Here is a 25,169-nt window from a genome sequence, read left to right on the forward strand (position 1 = left end):
AGGCCACTACTAGGCCATTAATATGAACACTCCCACGTGTCCAACTGTGCTTTCTAAGGCTCCCTCTTCAGTTACACCACTGAGAGCTCAACTGCCTTGAGCCTCGAGATAAATACCAACATTAGCAGTAAAAGTTTGTGGGGTTTTTTTTTGTTTTTTTTTTTTTAAGACACGAGGTCTCACTCTGTTGCCCAGGTTGGAGTGGTGCAACGGCTATCCACAGGTGCGATTCTAGTACTCTACAATCTCAAACTTCTGGGCTCAAGACATTCTTCTGCCTCGGCCTCCTGGGTACTGTACACCACCACGTCTGACTAAAATGGTTCTTTCTTTGAATTGAAAATTTCTTAGCAAAATTTACAGGTGCATATGAAAACAATAAAACTTCCTTCCCCAAAGTATTACCTCTTCCCCTTTCGACCTTGAAAGACTCCCTGGAGAATCTCCAAGAGGTGGCTTAATGACCGAATGTTCTGAAGAGCTGTGGGAGTAGAAATTCAAGTAAAGTTTACTCCATGTATCAAAATAGAAACTAAATTAATTTACCCTTTCAAACACTAATTTTTCTTTTTAGCAAACAATCCTAGCTGACTCCAAAGTTACTCTCTGGAGACATTTATTAAAATAAGCTCTGGATTCAGTGGCACCAATGACAGTTGTAAGGAGGAGATGAAAAGCCATTCTGGAAAGAAAATTAAGTCAAAGTCCACATATTTTATAGTGAGATGTCAAGTACCCTTCCCTTGCTTAGTTCCAGAATCCTGTTTGCTATGCTTAAATCCAACCCCAGACAGGACACTGGAGAATGCTCTTCAGGAAAATTATCTGGCCCAAGAGAAAAAAATATCAGAAACTTACAGTTTAGGGTACCTTAGTAAAACTATGTTTCCTCTTAATCAATTTTTGTGAGGCCAACAAGCAGACAGATCCACCCACATATGTAGCCCTTCCTTCCAATCAGCTTTTAAAATTTTTATTTAATATTATAAAATATAATAGAGACGGGGTCTCCCTATGTTGCCCAGGCTGCTCTCGAACTCCTGGGCTCAAGCAATCCTCCCACCTCAACCTCCCAGATTGCTGGGATTACAGGTGTGAGTCACCACACCCAGCCAGCTTTTGTTTTAATGTCTCACTGTTTACGGCCAGCCAAAGCTTTCTAGATACCTGAAAAAAGCCGAGATAAAAGGTAGAGACTAAAATCAACAGAAAAATGAACTTGGGAGAAGAGAGGCAATTTAGGGAACAAAAGCTACAAAAATGTAATTTAAATCCTTAGATATAAGAGGAAATAACAGATTAATAAGGAAACAAGAGCAAGATCTATTTTTTAAAAAGGAAAAGAAATTAGATAATAAGAAAGACCTCTTAGAAAATTAAAATATGATGGTAGAAAAAAGTAAATCCGAAGCAGCCTGAGGTAATCTGTGAAAATGGTTCGCTATTCACTTGACCCGGAGAACCCCACGGAATCATGCAAATCAAGAGGTTCCAATCTTCGTGTTCACTTTAAGAACACTCGTGAAACTGCTCAGGCCATCAAGGGTATGCATATACGAAAAGCCACGAAGTATCTGAAAGATGTCACTTTACAGAAACAGTGTGTACCATTCCGACGTTACAATGGTGGAGTTGGCAGGTGTGCGCAGGCCAAGCAGTGGGGCTGGACACAAGGTCGGTGGCCCAAAAAGAGTGCTGAATTTTTGCTGCACATGCTTAAAAACACAGAGAGTAATGCTGAACTTAAGGGTTTAGATGTAGATTCTCTGGTCATTGAGCATATCCAAGTGAACAAAGCACCTAAGATGCGCCGCCGGACCTACAGAGCTCATGGTCGGATTAACCCATACATGAGCTCTCCCTGCCACATTGAGATGATCCTTACGGAAAAGGAACAGATTGTTCCTAAACCAGAAGAGGAGGTTGCCCAGAAGAAAAGGATATCCCAGAAGAAACTGAAGAAACAAAAACTTATGGCACGGGAGTAAATTCAGCATTAAAATAAATGTAATTAAAAGGAAAAAAAAAAGTAAATCCATAGAAAATAGAGGTGAGGAAATTGCTAAATAATATTTTTTTAATTTCCTAGAACTTAAGTTTCCAACTTAAAAGGGCCCATGAAATACCCAGAAGAATAAGGAAAAATAGAATCACTCTAAGGTCTATCTTCTATATCATCATGAAGTTTCAGACTATCAGGGAAGAGAAGAACCTGAAAAATTCCAGAGTAGAAGGAGCAATAGGCCTCACCCAAAGAATGAGGAATCAACCAGCCTCGCCAACATGGTAAACATGGTGAAACTCCATCTCTACTAAAAATACAAAAATTAGTTGGGTGTGGTGGTATGTACCTGTAGTCCCAGCTAGTAGGGTAGCTTAGGCACAAGAATCACTTGAACCCAGGAGGCCGGGGGTTGCAGTGAGCCAAGATTGCGCCACTGCACTCCAGCCTGGGAGCCAAAGTGAGACACTGTCTCAAAAAAAAAAAAAGACAATGAGGAATCAAGATGGCATCAGACTTTTTAATCAGAACACTAAAACTGGAAGATCATGTAGCAATGCTTTTGAAATACTGAGGAATGATTTTCATCCTAGAATTCTATACCCAGCTATACTAACAAAAAAGGTGAAAAATAAAGCAAACACATTTTTAGACATGCAAGGTCTCAGAAACTTCACCTCTAAGGCACCCCTTTTCAGGAAACTGTGAGATGCTAAAAACAGGGAATCTAATAAAGAGATGAGGCAAAGGAAATCCCAGCAGAACAGTGAGGAAAGTCCCAGGATTCTATCTAGACCTACATAAAGTGATCAAAAAGCAGTAAATATAAAGTGAAGCAGGAGTGATCCTGGAGGGACATCTCCCAAGGGGAAAAAATGGAATAGAGAAATTTCTGACACTTTTTACAATAATGAGAGAAGTTTTATGATTTTATAATTCTGTCAAAGCACTTACAGATAGTTTAGTGATAAATATTAAGAAAACTCATCATGTACAGACACATGAACACCAACTTGAGGCAATTACTGTCTCCAGGAAAAACAAGAAGCTATATGAAAAAGAAATATAATCATATGGCACTACATGACCCAGTTGTAAATAACATTTACAAGGTCATAGTAATGTGATACTGATTTAAACAAAATCACACTGATACTGATTTAAACAAAAATTGATATATACTGAAAATAAGGGATAGACAAAGTGAGGGTGCTATGTATGAGGAGTATGGTAGAGAATCAACAGATAGCAAAAACAGTAATAGAGGCCGGGTGCGGTGGCTCATGCCTGTAACTCCAGCACTTTGGGAGGCCGAGGTGAGCGAATCATGAGGTCAGGAGTTCGAGACCAGCCTGGCCAACATGGTGAAACCCTGTCTCTACCAAAAATACAAAACATTAGCTGGACATGGTGGCACATGCCAGTAATCCCAGCTACTCAGGAGGCTGAGGCAGGAGAATTGTTTGAACCTGGGAGGCAGAGGTTGCAGTGAGCTGAGATTACACCACTGCATTCCAGCCCGGGCAACAAGAGCAAAACTCCATCTCAAAAAAACAAAACAAAACAGTAATAGAAGTATGTTTTTCAGAAATGTGGAAATATATAGCAAAAGGCTGGGTGTGGTGGTTCACTCCTGTAATCCCAGGACTTTGGGAGGCTGAGGTAGGAGGATCACTTAAGCCCAGGAATTTGAGACCAGCCTAGGCAACATAGTGAGATCCCATCTTAAAAAAAAATTGTATGTATATATATCAAGAGAAACAGCCAAATGGGTTGAAAATGGCAGCCAATAAGAAATAAAACCATGGACAAAGATGGGTTTTATTTTAAGCCTTGAAGTACTATTTGTCTTTTGAAACCATGTATGTATATTACATGGACAAAAACAAAAATTAAATTTTAAAATCTGAATTCTTGTTTTGAAAGTACTCAAAACAACTATTATGAAAGCTGTAATAAAAAAGCAAATAGTAAAAAAATAAAAATTCAGAAAAGAATCAAAAATTGAATTTATGCTCTGAAATAAAACTAGGTTTTTGACACTAATTATTTATAAAGTGAATTCCTATAAGCATCCAAGTGCCAAAAGCAAGTTATACATTTTTGTACTTAATCTCAGCCAAAAAGCTGGGAATCTCATCTTATACATTTTTTAATGAACCACCCTGAAAAGTGTTTTATGCTAAGAATATAGAAAATGCTCCTTAACTATTCCCATTGCATAAATTAACACTTGTATACTAATGATAGCAAGATAAAAATTTTCCCTGAATAGTGAAAATGTAAATATGCAGTCTTCCACTGCTGTAATTGCCAAAGCAGCCAACACTGCAGCTGTAATCATTCCACCAGATTGTAAAACATCTTTCTATGCCCTGAAAGTCTGAATTTTAAGATTATTTGTTCAAAGATGCCAACTGAAGAAAAAAGAAAATCAAGATTTAGAGATCCTAAAACTGTAGGTTCTTTGAGTAGGATGGCTTATAAAAAATATAATTGCCTTGGTGGTAGTCAGGAAGCAAAAAGAAAAATAGAAGGAAAATGGAAACTATAAAGAGACTTAGAAGTTGGTAGAAGAGAATATAGACAAATGAAGGCAGATTAGGAAAAAAAATTGGTAGGCAGTAAGCTCTAAAAACTTTTATTTATAAGGCTCCAAAGACAAGTTCAACCTTCTAACCATTAGTAGTAAGTTAATATTTCCAAGTTTTACAAAGTCAAGCACTTACATTTGGCTTCCACAAGGTGATTCCTCCAGAAAAGGTATGTGATTTGTTGATCCAGGATTACGAGGAGTGCTTGTATGAATATTTGAAGCATCATGTGTTAATCTCTGACTAGAGTCTTGGGGTGGTGTAGTAAAACTAGTCACAGAAGAACCATTAGATCCATTGCCTTTGCTCCCATTACATTGCTGGTTGAGTGCTGATACCTCATTACCAAGGCCATCCATTCCAATATTTAATTCACCAAGCTTTTGAATGGACCTATAAAATTAAACAATGTAATCATTTTAAAATAAAAACTTAATTGCATTCCTAATATATACAAGGTTAAAAGTGTGAAAAGGTAAAAATATGCACATATAATATATAATCTATGGCAAATTTAGTGTTAAAAATTACCACCATCAACTTAAGACATAACCAAGATACTGAAAGAAGATCCACATTTTCCCATAGTATAACACTACAGAAGATAGGCATAATGGGCATTATAGACTTTTCTTTTTTTGAGTCAGGGTCTCGCTCTGTTGCCCAGGCTGAAGTGCAGTGGCATGATCGTGGCTCACTGCAGCCCTGGGCTCAAGCAATCCTTCCACCTCCCACACATACCTGGGACAACAGGTGCATACCATCATGACCAGCTAACTTTTTAAATTTTTTGTAGAGACAGAGTCTCCCTATATGGCCTAGATTGGTCCTTAACTCCTGGGTTCAAGCTATCCTCCTGCCTTCCGCCCAAAGTGCTGGGATTATAGGCATGAACCACTGTGCCCAGCCAGTATCACAGACTTTTTAAAAGCAGCTTTTACAATAAAAACAGAAAAAAAATTCTTTTTCTTCCCCAATATAACTTTGGTTTAATTTTCCATTTAAAACTTAACTTTCAGAAAGAGTCAATAACAATATCACCACTACCAAAATTGCTCATCAACAAAACAAGCCATTTTCATTCCATCTGTCTTGAGTAGTATCAAGTAGGAAATGGATGACTTGAGCAAGCCATGATGAGTAAAAAGTCAAATGGCATCCCTAATACTCCACATGTACTTATTCACTCATTAATTCATTCTACAAATACTATTGGCCAGTCTCTGATCTAGACAATAGGGAGATAAAACAGGGAGCAAAACAAGTTAGCCTCAGGGCCTTGCCCTCAACAAATAGTCTCTCCATTGCTGTAGCCTGACTCCATATTGAGATCAGGGCTACAAAGGGCACAAACAGGAAGCTACATTGCTCTTTTAAGATTTAGACTCATGGGCCAGGTGCGGTGACTCATACCTGTAATCCCAGCACTTTGGGAGGCTGAGGTGGGCGGATCACTTGAGGTCAGGTTCGAGACCAGCCTGGCCAACATGGTGAAACCCCATCTCTACTAAAAATACAAGAATTAGCCAAGCATGGTGGCAGATGCCTGTAATCCCAGCTACTTGGGAGGCTGAAGCAGGAGAATCACTTGAACCTGGGAAGCGGAGGCTGCAGTGAGCCAAGATCACACCACTGCACTCCAGCCTGGGCGACAGAGCAAGTCTCCATCTCCAAAAAAAAAAAAAGAAGTTAGACCCATGGCCAGGAGCGATGGCTCACGCCTATAATCCCAGAACTTTGGGAGGCCAAGGCAGAAGGATTGCTTGAGCTCGGGAGTTTGAGACTAGCCTGGGCAACAGAGGGAGCCCGTCTCTCCCAAAAAAAAAAAAAAGAAAAGAAAAAGAAAAACTTAGCCAGACATGGTGGTGCAGGCCTATGGTCCTAGCTACTTGGAAGGCTGAGGTGGAAGGATTGCCTGGGCCCAGGAGGTCAAGGCTGCAATGGGCCGTGATCCTGCCTGGGCAACAAAGTGAGATCCCATCTCAGAAAAAAAAAAAAAGAAAAAGAAAAAAAAGGAAAGAAAGAAGGAGGGCTGGGCGCGGTGGCTCATGCCTGTAATCCCAGCACTTTGGGAGACCGAGGCGGGCGGATCACGAGGTCAGGAGATCGAGACCATCCTGGCTAACACGGTGAAACCCCGTCTCTACTAAAAATACAAAAAAAAAATTAGCCAGGCGTGGTGGTGGGCGCCTGTAGTCCCAGCTTCTCGGGAGGCTGAGGCAGGAGAATGGCGTGAACCTGGGAGGCGGAGCTTGCAGTGAGCCGAGATAGTGCCACTGCACTCCAGCCTGGGCAACAGAGCAAGACTCCATCTCAAAAAAAAAAAAAAAAAGAAAGAAGGAAGGAAAGGAAAGGGGAAAGGGGAGGAAGGGAGGGAGGAAAGAAGATTTAGACCCAAAACTAACCCAGCATCAGTTTCTCCAGCTGAGATTCAATATAAGAAAGGACTAACACAGGGAGTACAATTATTGAGAGGTGTTGTGGCTTATGGTATTTTTTAATTTTCCTACATTAAACATTGTTTATTTATATTTTTAGGGTTTAAAAATACTTCCAAAAAAGCAGCTCAATATTATTAGAGGAACTGTTAGCCTTATACTAAATATTTATCAGTTAAAAATTATAATTAAGTAGCATTTCTCAAATTGTGTTCTGTGAAACATATTTCTTGTGAAATGTACATATATCTTTTTTATACTCCCCATAAAAAGGGATGTGAGGTCAAATAAATTTGGGAAAAATGCAAAGTATAAAAAGCATTTAAAATGCTAATACAGGCCAGGCACAGTGGCTCATGTCCGTAATCCTAGCACTTTGGGAGGCCAAGGCGGGCAGATCACCTGAGGTAGGGAGTTTGAGACCAGCCTGGCCAGCATGGTGAAACCTCGTCTTTACTAAAAATACAAAAATTAGCCAGGCATGGTGGTGGACACTTGTGGTCCCCGCTACCTGGGAGGCCGAGATGGTGAATCGCTTGAACCTGGGAGGAAGACGTTGCAGTGAGCCAAGGTCATGCCACTGCACTCCAGCCTAGGCAACAGAGCAAGACTCCGCCTCAAAAAACAAAAAAAAAATGCTAATATAGCATTTTAACTCTCTTAAAATGGGCTGGGATGGGGAAGAGGCTGAATACGCCTATTAATTGTCAAATCAATGGTGCCAATTATTAGTATTAATAAAAACAAAAGATCAAGAGGTATAAAGTAATGATACAGTACTATTAATAAAATTCCTATCATGCTATAATTTTTTTCAATAAGATCTAATTGTGTAACACACCTTACTTCTCTTCTGTCTATGCCCCTCAGAAGGAAGAAGTAAAATTTAAATCTAGAAATAATGACCTGCAAGAGTGATTTGGAAGAATAAAACATTGAGAGGAAAAAGCACATTTTATAGATTCTATCTCCATTCAATTTGTCCTTGATTTTACATATCTTAAAGCCCTAGTACAGGCTCAGATATACAAAACTAGAGTCTAGAAAAAATAATTAAACAAAAATATTGGGCCAGGCATGAGCCTGTAATCCCAGCACTTTGGGAGGCCAAGGCAGGTGGATCACCTGAGGTCAGGAGTTCGAGACCAGCCTGACCAACATGGTGAAAGCCTGTCTCTACTAAAAATACAAAAAATTAGCTGGGCATAAGTGGCAGTGCCTGTAATTCCAGCTACTTGGGAGGCTGAGGCAGGAGAATCACTTAAACCTGGGAGGCAGAGGTTTCAGTGAGCTGAGATCGCGCCACTGCACTCCAGCCTGGGCAACAAGAGCAAGACTCTGTCCCCAAAAAAAAAAAAAATTATATTAAAGGGTTAGAACAGAATAGATAAGATTAAGAGAATGACAGAAAATTTATGGGAAACTAATATATAAAAATTTAGGATGGGCCGGGCATGGAAGCTCCATGTCAAAAACAAAAAACAAAACAATAAATACACTCTAAACAAACCTAAATTACAAGACAGAATTTAAATTCTAGGCCCAGAATGGTGGTTCTCGCCTGTAATCCCAGCACTTTAGGAGGTCGAGGCAGGAGGATTGCCTGAGCTCAGGAGTTCAAGATCAGTCTAGGCAACATGGTGAAACTTCATCTCTACAAAAAATATAAAAATTAGCTGCTTGTGGTGGCTGGAGGATCACTTTAGCCCCAGAGGCAGAAGGTCGAGGCTGCAGTGAGCCATGACCACACTACTGCACTCCAGACTGGGCAACAGAGCGAGACCCTGTCTCAAATTAAAAAAAAAAAAAAGAATTTAAATTCTATTTATGATTGTCTATAAAGGAAAGATGAACCTTCCCGAATAGTTTAGCTTTTTTTCTGAGGACGTACATCACTAACCACTATTGGGGAGGAGGGTCACAGAACTTTGCCATTTCATCTTCTCACTGCTAGATATCTGCTCTCACTGCAAAATAAGTTGGTCAGAAATTCAAATTACATCCATGACTTTTATGGCCATGAAGAAAACATCCAAAAACCAGAAATGGCAATTCATCAAATAAGAATAATTCTGACAAGCCACCCACTTCAACAGAGGTGATAAGAAAATGACACTCAAACTGGATGTTCAGAGGCCTATTTAGACTCTTGAGACCACCAGTTTAAACAATCCTTGTGTGAGCCGGCTACGATGACTCATGCCTGTAATCTCAGAGCTTTGGGAGACTGAGGCAGGAGGACTACTTGAGCCCAGGAGTTCAAGGTTACAGTGAGCTATGATCACACCACTGCACTCCAGCCTAACATGACAGAGCAAGACTCTATCTCCATTTAAAAAACAAAAAGGGCAGGCGCAGTGGCTTACACCTGTAATCCCAGCACTTTGGGAGGCTGAGGCAGGGGGATCACCAGGTCAGGAGATCGAGACCAGCCTGACCAACATGGTGAAATCCCGCCTCCACTAAAAATACAAAAATTAGCCAGGCATAGTGGTGCGTACCTGTAATGCCAGCTACTCAGGGAGCTGAGGCAGGAGAACCGCTTGAACCTGGGAGGCGGAGGTTGCAGTGAGCCGAGATCGCACCACTGCACTTCAGCCTGGGCGACAGAGCTAGACTCTGTCTCAAAAAAAAAAAAAAAAAAAAGGCCAGGCGTGGTGGCTCACACCTGTAATCCCAGCACTTTGGGACGTTGAGATGGGAGAATCCCTTCAGCTGGGGTAGTAGAGGCTGCAGCGAGCCGTGATCAGATTGCGCTACTGCACTCCAGCCTGGGCGACAGAGTGAGACTCCAACTCAAAAAAGAACAAACAAACAAAAAACAAAACAAAAAAAACCACTCCCTTTGTGAAGGTTTGAAGACAGGATCAATTTCAGGCTCACTGACTTACACAACACTCAGAGTTGTCAAGCAGATTACTTCCAATATTGTTGAATCAAGTGAAGAGCTAACAGTCACCATTACAGTTACCTAATTGTAATCATGACAATAGCCAACATTTATAGGATACTTCCTATGTGCCAGAACTGTTGTAAGCACATTTGCATATATTAATTCACTTAATCTTCCAACAATCATTGCTTATTTAAATATATATTATTTTATTGAATTCTAAACACACATACATAAGACCGGGTGTGGTGGCTCACACCCGTAATCCCAGCACTTTGGGAGTGGGCGGATCACTTGAGCCCAGGAGTTCAAGACTAGCCTGGCCAACACAATGAAACCCCATCTCTACTAAAAAAATACAAAATCAGCCAGGTGTGGTGGCACACGCCTATAATCCCAGCTACTCGGGAAGCTGAGGCAGGAGAATTGCTCGAACTCAGGAGTCAGAGGTTGCAGTGAGCGAAGATCGCGCCACTGTACTCCAGCCTGGGTGACAGAGTAAAATTCCATCCCAAGAATGAATAAATCAATAAATTAATTAATTAAATAAAATAATAAAAAATAAACACACACGTGTGTGTATATATTTCTCCTATAATTGGAAACAATAAATGTAGTTCATATTGTTTTGGCGGAAATTATAAAAATAATTTTAATACAGCAAATCAAAAAAAATCTGTAGGTTTAAGCACTTTAGTAACAATAAAAATAGCAGCTAACAACATAGTGTTTACAGTGTGCCAGGTACTGTTCTCAGCACTTTACAAAGATTAACTCTATTTATCCTCATGGTAACCTTGTAAGAAGGTTAGAAGAAATAAGAAGTAGATAAGGGCCAGCACAGTGGCTCATGCCTGTAATTCCTGCACTTTGGGAGGTCAAGGTGGACGGATCGCTTGAGGCCAGGAGTTTGAGACCAGCCTGGGCAACAAGGCAAAACCCTATCTCTACAAAAAAAATACAAAAATTAGCTGGGTGTGGTGGTATATGCTGTAGCGCCAGCTACGCAGGAGGCTGAGGCAGGAGGATCACTTGAGCCCAGGAAGTTGAAGCTGCAGTGAGCCAAGACTGTGCCTCTGCACTCCAGACTGGGCGACAGAGTGAGAGCCTTGCCTCAAAAAAAAAAAAGCAGCAGATAAAGAGATAAAAAGAACTAGAGTGACTTCCCCTAGATCCGCAGTTACCCTGGGAGAGCTGGATCCACCTGGCTGTCAGCTGTTCAGTGCACTGAACCTCTGCACTCTTCTGCTCTAGTTGCTTAGGGAATAAGGACAAAACTAGATGAGCCCTCGGAATGCTGTGACTAGAAAGCAATATGTAACTCCACATTACTTCAAATGCGTAAAAAGCCTTAAAATGTCAAACTATACATAGAAAGTAGCAGTTATTGCATGTTTTAAATAGCTTTCAAATAACTCCATATTTTAAAAAGTGATTAGAAGACCAACCTATTAAGGAACTGTTCAGTAAGATTCTGCTGCTGATCAGGACCATCCTCCTGATTCACGCCTCCTTCAAGCAACATCTGTTGGTATATCTGCCGCTGTTGCTCCTTCTGTTCTAAATGCTGTTGATAGCGTAATCTTTGCCTATAATATTCTTGAAATTGTTCTGTTGAATCTCGAAGCTTAAAAACATTAGAAAAAAACATATATATTTGAGCAAACTATGACAGAATATATCTTAACAGTACCTTTTATAAATGCTGAATAAAATATACAATTAGCTATATTTAACAATCACAAAATACTTAATCTATTGCTCTTTGAAAAACAGTATGTGTCTTAATACTCAAGTGGATCAGTTAATTTGCTTTATTCCACGGAAACAGACTGACCGAAATGAATGGTTGCCTTGGTTCCCTGACTAACCCAAAATAAAAATACAAATTATAATGGTTACAAGGGGGCCATGATCAGAGAAAATGAATGTAGATAAAGACTAATACAAATCTGGCATTTCTTTAAAAATATCCATACTGAGGGACTGCATTAATATTTAATAAACATAATGAGATACCAACTTACCCCAGCCAGAATGGCCATCACTAAAAAACAATAGATGTTGGAATGGATGGGGTAAAAAGGGAATGTTTACACACTGCTGGAGGGAATATAAATTAGTACAGTCTCTATGGAAAAAAACAGTATGGTGATTTCTCAAAGAACTAAAAGTAGATCTACCATTCAATCCAGCAATCCCACTGAGTATCCACCTAAAGGAAAATAAGTCATCATATCAAAAAGACACCTGCAAGTGTATGTTTATCGCAGCACAATTCCCAGTAGCCCTAACATATAGTACTAAAAAAATGTTCCATGTACACTTCAGAAGGATACGTATTCTGCTGTTGTTGAGTGGAGTGTTTTATACATGTCTGTCAGGTCTAGTCAGTTTACAGTATTGTTCAAGTCCTCTATATCCTTATTGATCTTCTACTTGGATGTTTCATCCATTATTGTAAGTAGGGTATTGAAGTCTCCAACTATTATTGCAAAACTATTTCTCCCTTCAGCTCTCTCAATATTTGCATCATATTTTAAAGCTCTGTTGTTTGGTGCATATCCATGTACTTTTAATAGTAATTTTTCTACTTCATTCTTTTTTTAATTTTAATTTTTTTCTTGCATTGCTATAAAGAAATATATTCTTAATATTTAGTTGAAAACAAAAAACATATTCAACTTATTAAAACCACTTAACCCCTTCAAAGTGGCATGCTGTATAAACCTGTTTGTTTGTTTGAGACAGAGTCTCACTCTGTCGCCCAGGCTGGGATGCAGTGGTACAATGTTGGCTCACTGCAACCTCCGCCTCCCAGGTCCAAGCGATTCTCCTGCCTCAGCCTCCCAAGTAGCTGGGACTACAGGTAGCTGTGACACCACGCCTGGCTGATTTTTTGTATTTTTAGTAGAGATGGGGTTTCACCATGTTGCCTAGGCTGGTCTTGAACTCCTGAGCTCAGGTGATCCACCTGTCTTGGCCTCCCAAAGTGCTAGGACTACAGGCATGAGCCACCATATCCAGCCTATATAAAACTTATACCCTATTTCACAATACCATTTCCTCACAAAAACACCAAAGAAAAATAATCTAGAACCCTGGATTTGGATAAAAGTTTTATTCTATATTTAAAATGTCTAATTTCTTATTCTTAAATCTAATTAGTAAAATATAGACCATATCTCTTAAAAATGTAAACTAGCCGGCCGGGCGCGGTGGCTCAAGCCTGTAATCCCAGCACTCTGGAAGGCCGAGGTGGGCGGATCACGAGGTCAGGAGATCGAGACCATCCTGGCTAACATGGTGAAATCCCGTCTCTACTAAAAATACAAAAAAATCAGCCAGGTGTGGTGGCGGGCGCCTGTGGTCCCAGCTACTCGGGAGGCTGAGGCAGGAGAGTGGCACAAACCCGGGAGGCGGAGCTTGCAGTGAGCCGAGATCGCACCACTGCACTCCAGCCTGGGCGACAGAACAAGACTCCGTCTCAAAAAAAAAAAAACAAACGTAAACTAGCCATGTTTAATGTAAGCGCAATTACTTGAGTCGCAAAGCATGTAAAACATGCAATGTCACCAGTAATATTTTAGATTGCTAGTAAATTCACCTGTTAAAATTGCTCCAGAATACCCAATGGCAACTAAATAGCCACATATTCGTTGAAGAGAGGAGAGAAAATAAGCTAATAATAAGAAAATCTATGTATATTATTTCCTACTCCCAAATATCAGAAAATTCTTTTTACATTCTAAGTAAATTCTATTACTTCTTACAAAGAGAATAACTCTGAAAAACACTAGGTTTAGTAAATATTACCTCATTTTTTTCTTGTTTAGCTGGTCCTGGATTCTGTGCTCCATTTGCAGGCTCTTTTTCTGAAACTGAACTCTGGCCCAAGATTTCACTGCCGATAGGCCTCTGTGCATCAACAGGTGTATCACTTCTTCCAGAAACGTGCAAAAAAACAAAAAGGCAGAGGGGGGAGTAAAGGAAAATATATTTTAGTTAGAGAAATTTTATTTTATTATTATTATTTTTGAGATGGAGTCTCTCTCTGTAGCCCCGACTGGAGTGACGCAATCTCCGCTCACTGCAACCTCTACCTCCCAGGTTCAAGCAATTCTCCTGCCTCAGCCTCCAGAGCAGTTGGGATTACAAGTGCCTGCCACCACACCCGCCTAATTTTTTGTATTTTTAGTAGAGACGGAGTTTCACCATGTTAGCCAGGCTGGTCTCAAACTCCTGACCTCAAGCGATCCACACTCCCCAGTCTCCCAAAGTGCTGGGATTACAGGCATGAGCCACCACGCTCAGCCAAGAAATTTTAATTTTAAAAAATGAATAGCCCAGGCACGGTGGCTCACTCCTGTAATCCCAGCACTTTGGGAGGCCAAGGCAGGCAGCTCGCTTGAGCTAAGAAGTTCAAGACCAACCTGGGTAACATGGTGAAGCCTAGTTTCTAAAAAATAAAATAAAATAAAATAAAAAATTATTTGGGTGTGGTGGGGCGCCTGTGGTCCCCAGCTACTTGGGAGGCTGAAGTGGGAGGATCTCCTGATCCCAGGAGGTAGAGGTTACAGTGAGCCAAGATCACGCCACTGCACTCCAGCCTGGGTGACAAAGTGAGACCTTGTCTCAAAAAATAAAAAAAGAATATTTAGCCTGTTTATAAACTGTACACAAATCGATTTTTTATTTTCCTTTCTTCTAACACCACAAAAAGGGTTTTAAAAAATAGGAAGGTCTTAATGGAGGAGTACCAGGTTATTAGGCAGGGAGAGTGAGAGCAGGGACTACAGTTTAAAATCAGTTGGGTGGGCCGGGCACAGTGGCTTACGCCTGTAATCCCAGCACTTTAGGAGGCCGAGGCAGGCAGATCACGAGGTCAGGAGATCGAGACCATCTGGCCAACATGGTGAAAACCTGTCTCTACCAAAAACACAAAAATTTGTTGGGCGTGGTACGCGCCTGTAGTCCCAGCTACTTGGGAGGCTGAGACAAGAGAATCGCTTGAACCAGGGAGGCAGAGGTTACAGCGAGCCGAGATCACGCGACTGCACTACAGCCTGGTGACAGAGTGAGACTCCACCTCAAAAAAATAAAAATAAAAATAAATAAAAAATAAAATCAGTTGTGTGGCCTTGGGACAGTCACTTATATTCTCTGTGGCTCAGCTTAAAATAGGCTGATGAATACAAATAATAGGTTGGATAATACAATGCCTAAATTATCTTTATAAAATATAAACTTACAGTTTTGTTATCTAAACATTATTTCCTCCATATGTTTCTATAGATTTTTAAGAATTTTTGAGATTTTATTAGAAGACTTTCTTTGGGCTGGGCACAGTGGCTCACATCTGTAATCCCAGCACTTTGGGAGGCCGAGGGTGGCAGATCACCTGAGGTCGGGAGTATGAGACGAACCTGACCAACATGGAAAAACCCCGTCTCTACTAAAAATACAAAATTAGCCGGCATGGTGGAGCATGCCTGTAATCCCAGCTACTCGAGAGGCTGAGGCAGGAGAATCACTTGAACCCGGGAGGCGGAGGTTGTGGTGAGCCGAGATCGCGCCATTGCAGTCCAGCCTGGGCAATAAGAGCTAGACTCCGTTTCAAAAACAAAAGACTGAGGAGTTTTTTGGCTACCAGACTGTGCTATGAATTACTAATGGCCACAGGAAGTCCCCTTTTATGTCCACAAAGAAGAATTTGTAAGAGCTATTAACTGTATAAAGAATAAAATAACCTTCAAAAAGTAACATTTCATTTAATTTTGCAACGTATACAGAACTTCCATATGCATTATCTCATTTAACTTGCACAATAACCTGTGAAACAGTTTATAAGACCCATTTCACAAAGAGGTAACAGACTCAAAAAACAAGTCATTTTCCTAAGATTGCATAGCTAGAAAATAGAGCTTGAACTTGAACTCAGGTCATCAGACTCCAATTCCAGTGCCAGTCCATGCCTGAAATACATGCATTTCAAGCTTACATATTTCAAATGATTTTTCTCCATTTTAAGTGTCTCTGTTCAAGTGGAAAGATATCCTTTTAAAATATTACACACTCCCTTTCTTTCATGTTTTATCTTCTTGTTCACCATAGCAGTTCAATCATATTGTAGCATGGTGTTAGCACATAGTAATCACTGAAAAAAAAAATTTTTTTTTTGAGATAGGATATCTTGCTGTCACCCAGGCTGGAGTACAGTGGTGCAATCAAGGCTCACTGCAGCCTCAACCTCCTGGGCTCAATTGATCCTCCCACCTCAGCCTCCCAAGTAGCTGTGACTACAGGCACACGCCACCATGCTTGGCTAATATTTTTGTATTTTTCTGTAGAGACAAGTTTTCAACATGATGTCCAGGATAGTCCTGAACTCCTGGGTTCCAGTGATCCACCATGCCCAGCCTGAAATACATTTTAAATGTATACTCAAAAAAAAAAAAAAAAAAGATACTGACTTCAAGTATTTCAAGTAGTACTCTTCATGTTGCATACTTAGCATACTTGGTCTAGTTGAGCTTCTATATATATAACATTTAAAAAAACAATAAATAGAGACAGGGTCTCACTCTATTGCCCAAGCTGGTCTCAAACTCCTAGCCTCAAGCAATCCTCCCACCTCAGCCTCCCAAAGTGCTGGGATTACAGGTGTGAATCACCATACCAGTCCCAATATTTTTAAAATTACATCTAAAATATATTTTAAAATAGGTGCATTTGTTCCAAAGTAAATTTTTATACTTTATCCACAGGACAGTAACTCTCTCACAGCATTTCATTAGTAGTCCTTTTTGACACACTGTCCTTACCAAAGCCATGAGCTCTGAAAGGAAGAAATTTATATTCACTGAGTACCAATCACATGCTTGCCACTCTACTAGAAGCTTTATCTCATTTTGCAAGTCAACGCTTTATTATATAGAGAAGATAACTGAGGCTCAGAGAGATTAAATAACTTTCCCAAGGTCACACAGCCAATAAATGGCAAAGCTATTGTTCAGACCTATGTCTGACTTTAAAGACTATGTTCAGGCTGGGTGCAGTGGCTCATGCCTGTAATCCCAGCACTTTGGGAGGCCGAGGTGGGCAGATCATGAGGTCAGGAGTTCGAGACCAGCCTGGCCAAGATGGTGAAACCCCGGCTCTACTAAAAATACAAAAATTAGCCAGGCACAGTGGCGGGCGCCTGTAATCCCAGCTACTTGAGAGGCTGAGGCAGGAGAATCGCTTGAACCCAGGAGGCAGAGGTTGCAGTGAGCCGAGATCACGCCACTGCACTCTAGCCTGCGCAACAGAGCAAGACTCCATCTCAAAAAAAAGAAAAAAAAAAAGTTAACCTACCCTTTAGGAAGTCCCTCACTTAACTGATTGAAGTTAGATTCTCCTCTCTAAAGCACATGAAAGAAAATATCACAACTCTCTCCTCTATAATCTCAGAGCAACTTAACAGAAAAGGCTTCCCTATACATTTATCCTATACTTCTTTTTTTTTTGGAGTGAGATGGAGTCTTACTCTGTCGCCTAGGCTGGAGTGCAATGGTGTAATCTCTGCTCACTACACCTCTGCCTCCCAGGCTCAAGTGATTCTCCTGCCTCGGCCTCCCAAGTAGCTGGGATTATAGGCATGCACCAGCTAATTTTTTTGTATTTTTAGTAGAGATGGGGTTTCACCACATTGGCCAGGCTGGTCTCAAACTTCTGACCTCAGGTGATCCACCCACCTCGGCTTCCCAAAGTGCTGGGATTACAGGCTTGAGCCATCGCGCCGGGCCTCATCCTGTATTTCTTATGCTTTAACTAAGGATCTCCACTTGCTCTAATCATTATTATTTTTTGAGACGGAATCTCACTCTGTTGCCCAGGCTGGAGTGCAGTGGTGCGATCTAGGCTGACTGCAACCTCCACTTCCCAGGTTCAAGCGATTCTCCTGCGTCAGCCTCCTGAGTAGCTGGGACTACAGGCCCGTGCCACCACACCCAACTAATTTTTGTATTTTTAGTAGAGACAGGGTTTCATCATGTTGGACAGGTTAGTCTTGAATTCCTGACCTCAAGTGATCCACCCACCTCGGCCTCCCAAAGTGCTGGGATTACAGGCCTGAGCCACCGCACCCAGTTCACCTGCTCTAATTAGAAACAGAAATTCTGGGCCGGGCGCAGTGGCGCACGCCTGTAATCCCAGCTACTCGGGAGGCTGAGGCAGGAGAATCGCTTGAACCCGGGAGGCAGAGGTTGCAGTGAGCCGGGATTGTGCCACTGCACTCCAGCCTGGTGACAGAGCGGGACTCCATCTCAAAAAAAAAATAAAAATAAAATAAAAATAAAAGAAACAGAAATTCTGAGCCCACTGCTCCTTCCTCTGCAAAGAATGGCTCCAACTATCCTATGTAATGTGAAAAGGTTTCATTTTTATCTCTTTCATGAAATAAATTTATTGAAGTCAACACTAATATTTCATTGCGCCAACTCTAAGTTACAGAAAACCATCTATACATCCTCATGGGTTTACTGGAAAAATGAGGCAGAAAGTTTCCTAACCCTGAAATAAATAACTGTTGATCAGGAGTTTATTATTCCATGCCAGGTTTGAAGGAAAAACTGAATGGTGGCTTTAACACTTATTTCCTTCATATGTATAAGAATCACTAAAGTAAAGTAAGTGGAAATAATTAGAGTTTTAAGTTCTAGTTGTTCACTACACTACTATGTACAGGAGAAAAAAAGTAGAAACAACCTGGTATCCTACAATAAGGAGTTAAATTTGTGATATAGTCATACAATGAAATACTGCATATATTTATGATTAATCATTGATATCAAGAAATGTTTAAGAATATGGAAAATAGTCATGGTCTTTCAAGTGGAAAAAGCAGATTACATGAAAATCTATGTAATATATTCCCAGTTTTTAAAAATGTATTCATATAGCCAGGCGCAATGGCTCACACCTGTAATCCTAGCACTTTGGGAGGCCGAGGCGGGTGGATCAGCTGAGATCAGGAGTTCATGACCAGCCTGGCCAACGTGGTAAAACCTCATCTCTACTAAAAATACAAAAATTAGTTGGGCGTGGTGGCGGGTGTTTGCAATCCCAGCTACTCAGGAGGCTGAGGCAGGAGAATTGCTTGAACCCGGGAGACGGAGGTTGCAGTGAGCCGAGACCGTGCCACTGCACTCCAGCCTGAGTGACAAAAGCAAAACTCCATCTCAAAAAAAAACAAAAAAACAAAAAAACATACTCATAGAAAAAAAGACTGGTCCATCTAAGTATGAGATTGTATGGGATTTTAATTCTCATACTATTACTCTTCTATATTTTCCAAATTTTCTTCACAGCACATGTATTATATCTATAACCAGCAAAAGAATAAGATATAAAGATTTTTCTCATATAATTTTAATTATCAAAAATTTTAAACCTTTACTAAAGTATTAACGACTAACTTTCAACTAAAAGGACCTGAACATTAAGAAAACATACACACTCCTGGGCATGGTGGTTCACACCTGTAATCCCAGAACTTTGGGAGGCCAAGGCAGGATGATTGCTTCACTTGAGTCCAGGAGTTTGAGACCTGGGCAACACTGTGAAACCCCTTCTCTATCAAATATACAAAAATTAGCTGAGTATGGTGGTGTGTGCCGGTAGTCCCAGCTACTCAGGGGGCTGATTTTAACCTGGGAGATTGTGCCACTGCACTCCAGCCTGGGTGACAGAGCCAGACCTGTCTCAAAGAAAACATATACACACTATAATTAGATTATCTCAAACTTCTGAAGATTTCCTAATTTTTTTTTTTTTTTTTTTTTTGAGTCGGAGTCTCACTCTGTGGCCCAGGCCAGAGTGCAATGGCGTGATCTCAGCTCACTGCAAGCTCCCCCTCCCGGGTTCACGCCATTCTCCTGCCTCAGCCTCCTGAATAGCTGGGACTACAGGCACCTGCCACCACGCCCAGCTAATTTTTTGTATTTTTAGTAGAGACAGGGTTTCACCGTGTTAGCCAGGATGGTCTCAATCTCCTGACCTTGTGATCCACCCACCTCGGCCTCCCAAAGTGCTGGGATTACAGGCATAAGCCACTGCACCCGGCCTAAGATTTCCTAATTTTTATAACCAAATGCTTACCGCTCAGGGGATTCTTCGTAAATACTGTGACATTCTGTATTCTCAAGCATGAGACTTCTACTGAGGTTTTGTACCCCTGGATAATGGAAGTTAGCAAAGGAGTGTGACATTGGAGAAGTTTTGTTTCCAAGGTCTGAAATTCTCTTATCATGACTGGTTAGTCCACAGGTGAGGCCATCTAAAGCAGGATTCAGAGAGCGGGTCATATAGGCATCAGCTGATTGAGGTCTTCTCATTGGGGATGATGGATAGGGAGAGAGTTTGCTGATAAGAGGAGTCAAAAGATCAGCATATGCAGCTTTTGTAGGTTTCAGAAGTTTGTCAACATGAATATTAAGCATTTTCTGTTCAAAAGCACAAGAGAAGACAGAAGATGGAAGATTCTGAAGCCATGACAGTAAACTCAGATCCAAATCATCACAACCATTACCACATAAGAGGTCGATGCCAAGAAGCACTTCGCTTTCTGTAATTTCTTCTCCAGTTGCTTTACTCTGACAAAATTCTACACAGCATTCATAAAGCAGGCCTTTCATTACAAGCTGAAATAAACGATTGTTACTAGCCTTAAAACCAGCTTCACTTAGCTTCCTATCAGCAGGGATGAATTCTGCAACCATGACACAAGCCTCTTCAAAACAGTGAACTCGTGCGGTGCTGGGATTCCAGTCCTTAAACTCGGCATGATTGGTCAGACGAGGCAAAGTCAAAAGCAAACAGAGCTTACTATAGTCATCTTTAGAAGGACAGTATTCTTCTAGAGCATGTAAACATTGCACAGCTTCTTGCATGGTAAATTCCAGCTGTAAGAAAAATATAAATGATCAAATAATCACTATAAAAAACATGCTATGAAATATGAAAACGACAAGAGTACAAAGAATAAATTATATTGCCACAGAATACTCATATAATTTGTAGGATATGCAACAGCTTTCAAGATAGGAACATAATGTTTTCACAACTAAAATAAAAATAATAAACTTGGTTTATTAGTACATTAAACTTTTATCTATAAAAACACTGTTCTATTATAATTCAGGCATAAGACAGGATCTCACTCTGCTGCCCACGCTGGAGTGCAGGGGTTATTCATACACACAAATATAGTGCACTACAGCCTTGAACTCTTGGGCTCAAGTGATCCCCAGCCTCTAAAGTAGCTGGGACCACAGGTGTGCCACACTGTGCCCAGCTCTCAAATATATAATTTTTTAACGGTAAGAATTTTTTTTCTAGAAATGAAAATTGAAGCATGCCAATGTTCAATTGTTTATAAACTTTGCTATTATTCCAGCTTACCCAAAAGGCAAAAGAGCCACTCTGTTAGTCCAAACTTACCTTAGAGCAAAATTGTGTGGAGATAGAAAGTCAAGAAAAGGGAGCCGAGCACAGTGGCTCACACCTGTAATCCCAGCACTTTGGTAGGCCAAGGTGGGCAGATCATGAGGTTCGAGACCAGCCTGGCCAACACAGTGAAACCCCGTCTCTAATAAAAATACAAAAAATTAGCCAGGCACAGTGGCGGGCACCTGTAATCCCAGCTACTTGAGAGGCTGAGGCAGGAGAATTGCTTGAACCCAGGAGGCAGAGGTTACAGTGAGCTGAGATCGCACCACTGCACTCCAGCCTGGGTGACAGTGTGAGACTCCATCTCAAAAAAAAAAAAAAAAAACAGAAAGGGAATGCCTAAAGTTGACTTACTACAAAACAATCCAGACAGACCAAAATGGAAGCTTAGCTGAGAGACAAATTATAATAATTTGTATAGTGAATATTGTCTTTGAATCATAAGCTTTTAATGATGTAAGGAACTTCAGCACTCACCTAGTCTAGCCACCATATCTTACATATGGGAAAAGTCAGGGTACACATTTACCAAGGTAATTCAGTTGATTAGTGGCAAAGACGGAATAAAAAATAGGTCTCCTAACTCATGTTCCAGTGTTCTTTTCACTTTTGAACATCATTATCTGGCAAATATATCTGTATCTGAAAGTCCCCACTGTAAAATCCTTTGGTTTTTGCCTCAGTCTGAATGTTTGTGCCTCCCTAAAATTCCTATGTTGAAATCCTAACCCCGCAAGGTAATGGTATTGGAAAAGTAGGGCCTTTGGGAGGTGACTAGGTCATAAATGCTCAGCCCTCGTGAATTAGATTAGTGCCCATATAAGAGACCCCAGAGAGCTAGCTAGCCTCTTTAACCAGCTGAAAACACAGCTAGAAGGCACCATCCATGAACCAGAGCACAGGCCCTCACCAGGCAATGAATCTGCTGGTACCTTGATCTTGGACTTTCCAGCTACCAGAACTGTAAGAAATAAACTTCTATTGTTTACTAGCCCCCTAGTTTATGATATTTTGTTATAGCAGGTCAAATGGACTAAGACACTTTACTTCAGTTAACAATTACCAGAACTTAATACAAGTTTTCTCGGTTTTAGTATTACACTGAATCTTTAAAAGTCACTTTACTAATCAAAATGAATTTAATTTCATTAAATTTAAATAGTCATGAAGACAAACATTTCAGCAAAAAAAAAACTATCTCTGGATCAAAGACAATACAGAAAAGACAGAGAAAAAGGACATAAATATAACCAACCCACTTCCGGGATTTAAAAAAAAGAAGAAATGATGAAGAGTCATCAAGTCAAACTTTATCTATTGCTGACTTACCTTAAACAAGAGAGATGCACACACTCTTCAACTAGCCAGCTATTTATATATCTTGGCTTAAACCATGGAACAAGTTTAGAAGCGCTACAGAATGAAAATACTACACCTGGAAAACACCAGATCTTGCCCCATCCCAGCTCATAAAAACTCTGAAAACTTGTGATGCTAATCCTTCGTTTTAGTGACTAAAATACTTATGACTGAAAACAAGACTAGGGCGCAAACCTTCAGGAATAAAAATCTTACATGCTGGGGCTCATCTTCTGCTGACATCGCGTTGTTAACACATAAAGCTTCTAAAAACTTCTGCTTCAGGATAATATAACGAAACCTGTGGGAAAAAAATGAAGCATTAATTTTTCCAATGTCTGATGTCAAATATACTTAGAAGTTACTATGTAAGTACTTTTGCTTTAGGAAAATTATTCAAATAATTTACTAGGCTTCTTATCACATTGAAGCCATAACTGAAGTTCAGTCACAAGTAATCACAATTTAACACTCAGAGAATGAATTTATACTTCCAATATTAATTGTAAACAACAATCCAATTTTTATGGAAGATATCAAATGTTACCTAATATTAAATCAAGTCTTATATCCAAAATGTTTTGTTTACCTTACATCCTGTTTTTTATTAAAAAAATTTTAACAAATAATAGTATATATTTATGGGGTATGTTACATTTTTAAATACATATACATTGTAGAAAGATTAAATCAAATATTTTCTTTTTAAATATGAGAAAAGTCTAATAAAAAATGGGGCTGAAAGGGTAGGAGAAAATGAACATTTCTAAAACACTACAAAATAACTAGAGACTTAAAGCTTTTTTCCTTTTCTTTTTTTTTTTTAGAGACAGAGTCTTCTGCTCTGTCACCCAAGCTGGAGTACAGTGGCATGATCACAGCTCACTACAGCCTCAAACTTTGGCCCAAGCAATCCTCCTGCCTCAGCCTCCCAAGCAGCTAGGACTACAACTGTGTGCCACAGCACCCGGCCAATTTTTAAAATTGTTTTGTAGAGACCGGGTCTCACTTTGTTGCTCAGACTGATCTCAAATTCCTGGCTTCAAGCAATTCTCCTGCCTCAGCCTCCCAAAGTGCTTGGATTACAAGTATGAGCCACTGCACCTGGTCCCAATTTAAAGCTTTTTAACAAGAGTTTTTCAGAGGGGAAGGGATAGCAAAGAGTCTACCTAACCTGTCTAAGAATCAAAAGCTTTATTGCCTGAAGCAATTTATAGAAAAAGTGTTTCCAAGTCTGGAAAGAAAAAAATAATGAACCTTCAGTCATTCTTTCAGCCACTGTTGTAGTAGCAAATTGTGTCCAATAAAACAAAATCCCTGCCTTCAAAAAGAGGGTCACCTAATAAATTATATGAAATATTCAGAGTTCAGCAAGGCCTCAAAAAAGTATGAAACCAATTGTACAAAAGAGGTGGAAAGTTAACAAAAAAAAGACATAACAACTGACTCTCAGAAGACAATCAGAAGTGTACCAGGTAAAGGCAGGAGATGGTGAAGGGATTAATATTCCAGGTAAGTAAAGAATGTACAAACGCAAAGAAATATCAAGCAGCATGGTCTGAATAGCAAATCAAAAAATAACAACAGGTTCAACTTCTGATAGTGATAGAGTAACTTATATCTGGCTAACATTTCTGCATATAACAACAATAAATCTTACATAAAATACCAAAAAAAGGTGATTTTATTTATTTGTTTGTTTATTGATTGACTGATTGAGACAGAGTCCTGCTCTGTCGCCCAGGCTGGAGTGCAGTGGCACGATCTCGGCTCACTGCAACCCCTGCCTCCCAGTTTCAAGTGATTCTCCTACCTCAGCCTCCCAAGTAGCTGGGATTACAGGCATGTGCCACCACATCCAGCCAATTTTTTTTTGTATTTTCAGTAGAGACAGGATTTCGCCATGTTGGCCAGGCTGGTCTCCAACTCCTGACCTCAAGTGATCCGCCTGCCTCGGCCTCCCAAAGTGCTGGGATTACAGGCGTGAGCCACCACGCCTGGCCTCAAAAAATGACTATTTTGAATGCATTTGAAAAGCTGGCACAACTAGAGGGAAGTCAATCCTTAAAAAAAGAGAAATTTGCCAGGTGCGTTGGCTCAAGCCTGTAATCCCAGCACTTTGGGAGGCCAAGGTGGGTGGATCACGAGGTCAGGAGCTCGAGACCAGCCTGACCAACATGGTGAAACCCCATTTCTAACAATACAAAAATTAGCTAGGCACAGTGGTGCATGCCTGTAGTCCCAGCTGCTCGGGAGGCTGAGGCAGGAGAATCGCTTGAACCTGGGAAGCAGAGGTTGCAGTGAGCCAAGATCGCACCACTGCATTCCAGCCTGGGTGACAGAGTGAGACTCCATCTCAAAAAAAAAAAAAAAAAACCCAGAAATTTAAGGGG

The 25,169-nt window shown here is 40.5% G+C and overlaps 1 protein-coding gene and 1 pseudogene across 15 annotated transcripts in view; one reads left to right on the forward strand and one right to left on the reverse strand.

Moving 5' to 3' along the window:
• WDR47 (WD repeat domain 47) overlaps positions 1 to 25,169 on the reverse strand; it is a 71,889-nt gene that overhangs the window by 20,635 nt on the left and 26,085 nt on the right. For 5 of the 15 annotated variants that reach the window (NM_001142550.2, XM_011541029.3, XM_047449501.1 and 2 more), the window contains exons 4-9: positions 22,972 to 23,077; positions 20,068 to 20,870; positions 13,744 to 13,870; positions 11,376 to 11,554; positions 4,732 to 4,989; positions 406 to 481 (exon numbers count right to left, since the gene is read on the reverse strand). In NM_001142550.2, the coding sequence (NP_001136022.1) occupies positions 406 to 481; positions 4,732 to 4,989; positions 11,376 to 11,554; positions 13,744 to 13,870; positions 20,068 to 20,870; positions 22,972 to 23,077 (1,549 nt within the window). Of the gene's footprint in view, positions 1 to 405; positions 482 to 4,731; positions 4,990 to 11,375; positions 11,555 to 13,743; positions 13,871 to 20,067; positions 20,871 to 22,971; positions 23,080 to 25,169 lie in introns of all 15 variants that reach the window. The other 10 variants (NM_014969.6, XM_006710460.5, XM_047449522.1 and 7 more) reach the window with 4 other exon arrangements.
• On the forward strand, positions 1,413 to 2,026 carry RPL17P7 (ribosomal protein L17 pseudogene 7; annotated as a pseudogene).

The sequence above is a fragment of the Homo sapiens genome, chromosome 1 (genome assembly GCF_000001405.40).
Source record: "Homo sapiens chromosome 1, GRCh38.p14 Primary Assembly".
NCBI classification, from domain to species: domain Eukaryota; kingdom Metazoa; phylum Chordata; class Mammalia; order Primates; family Hominidae; genus Homo; species Homo sapiens.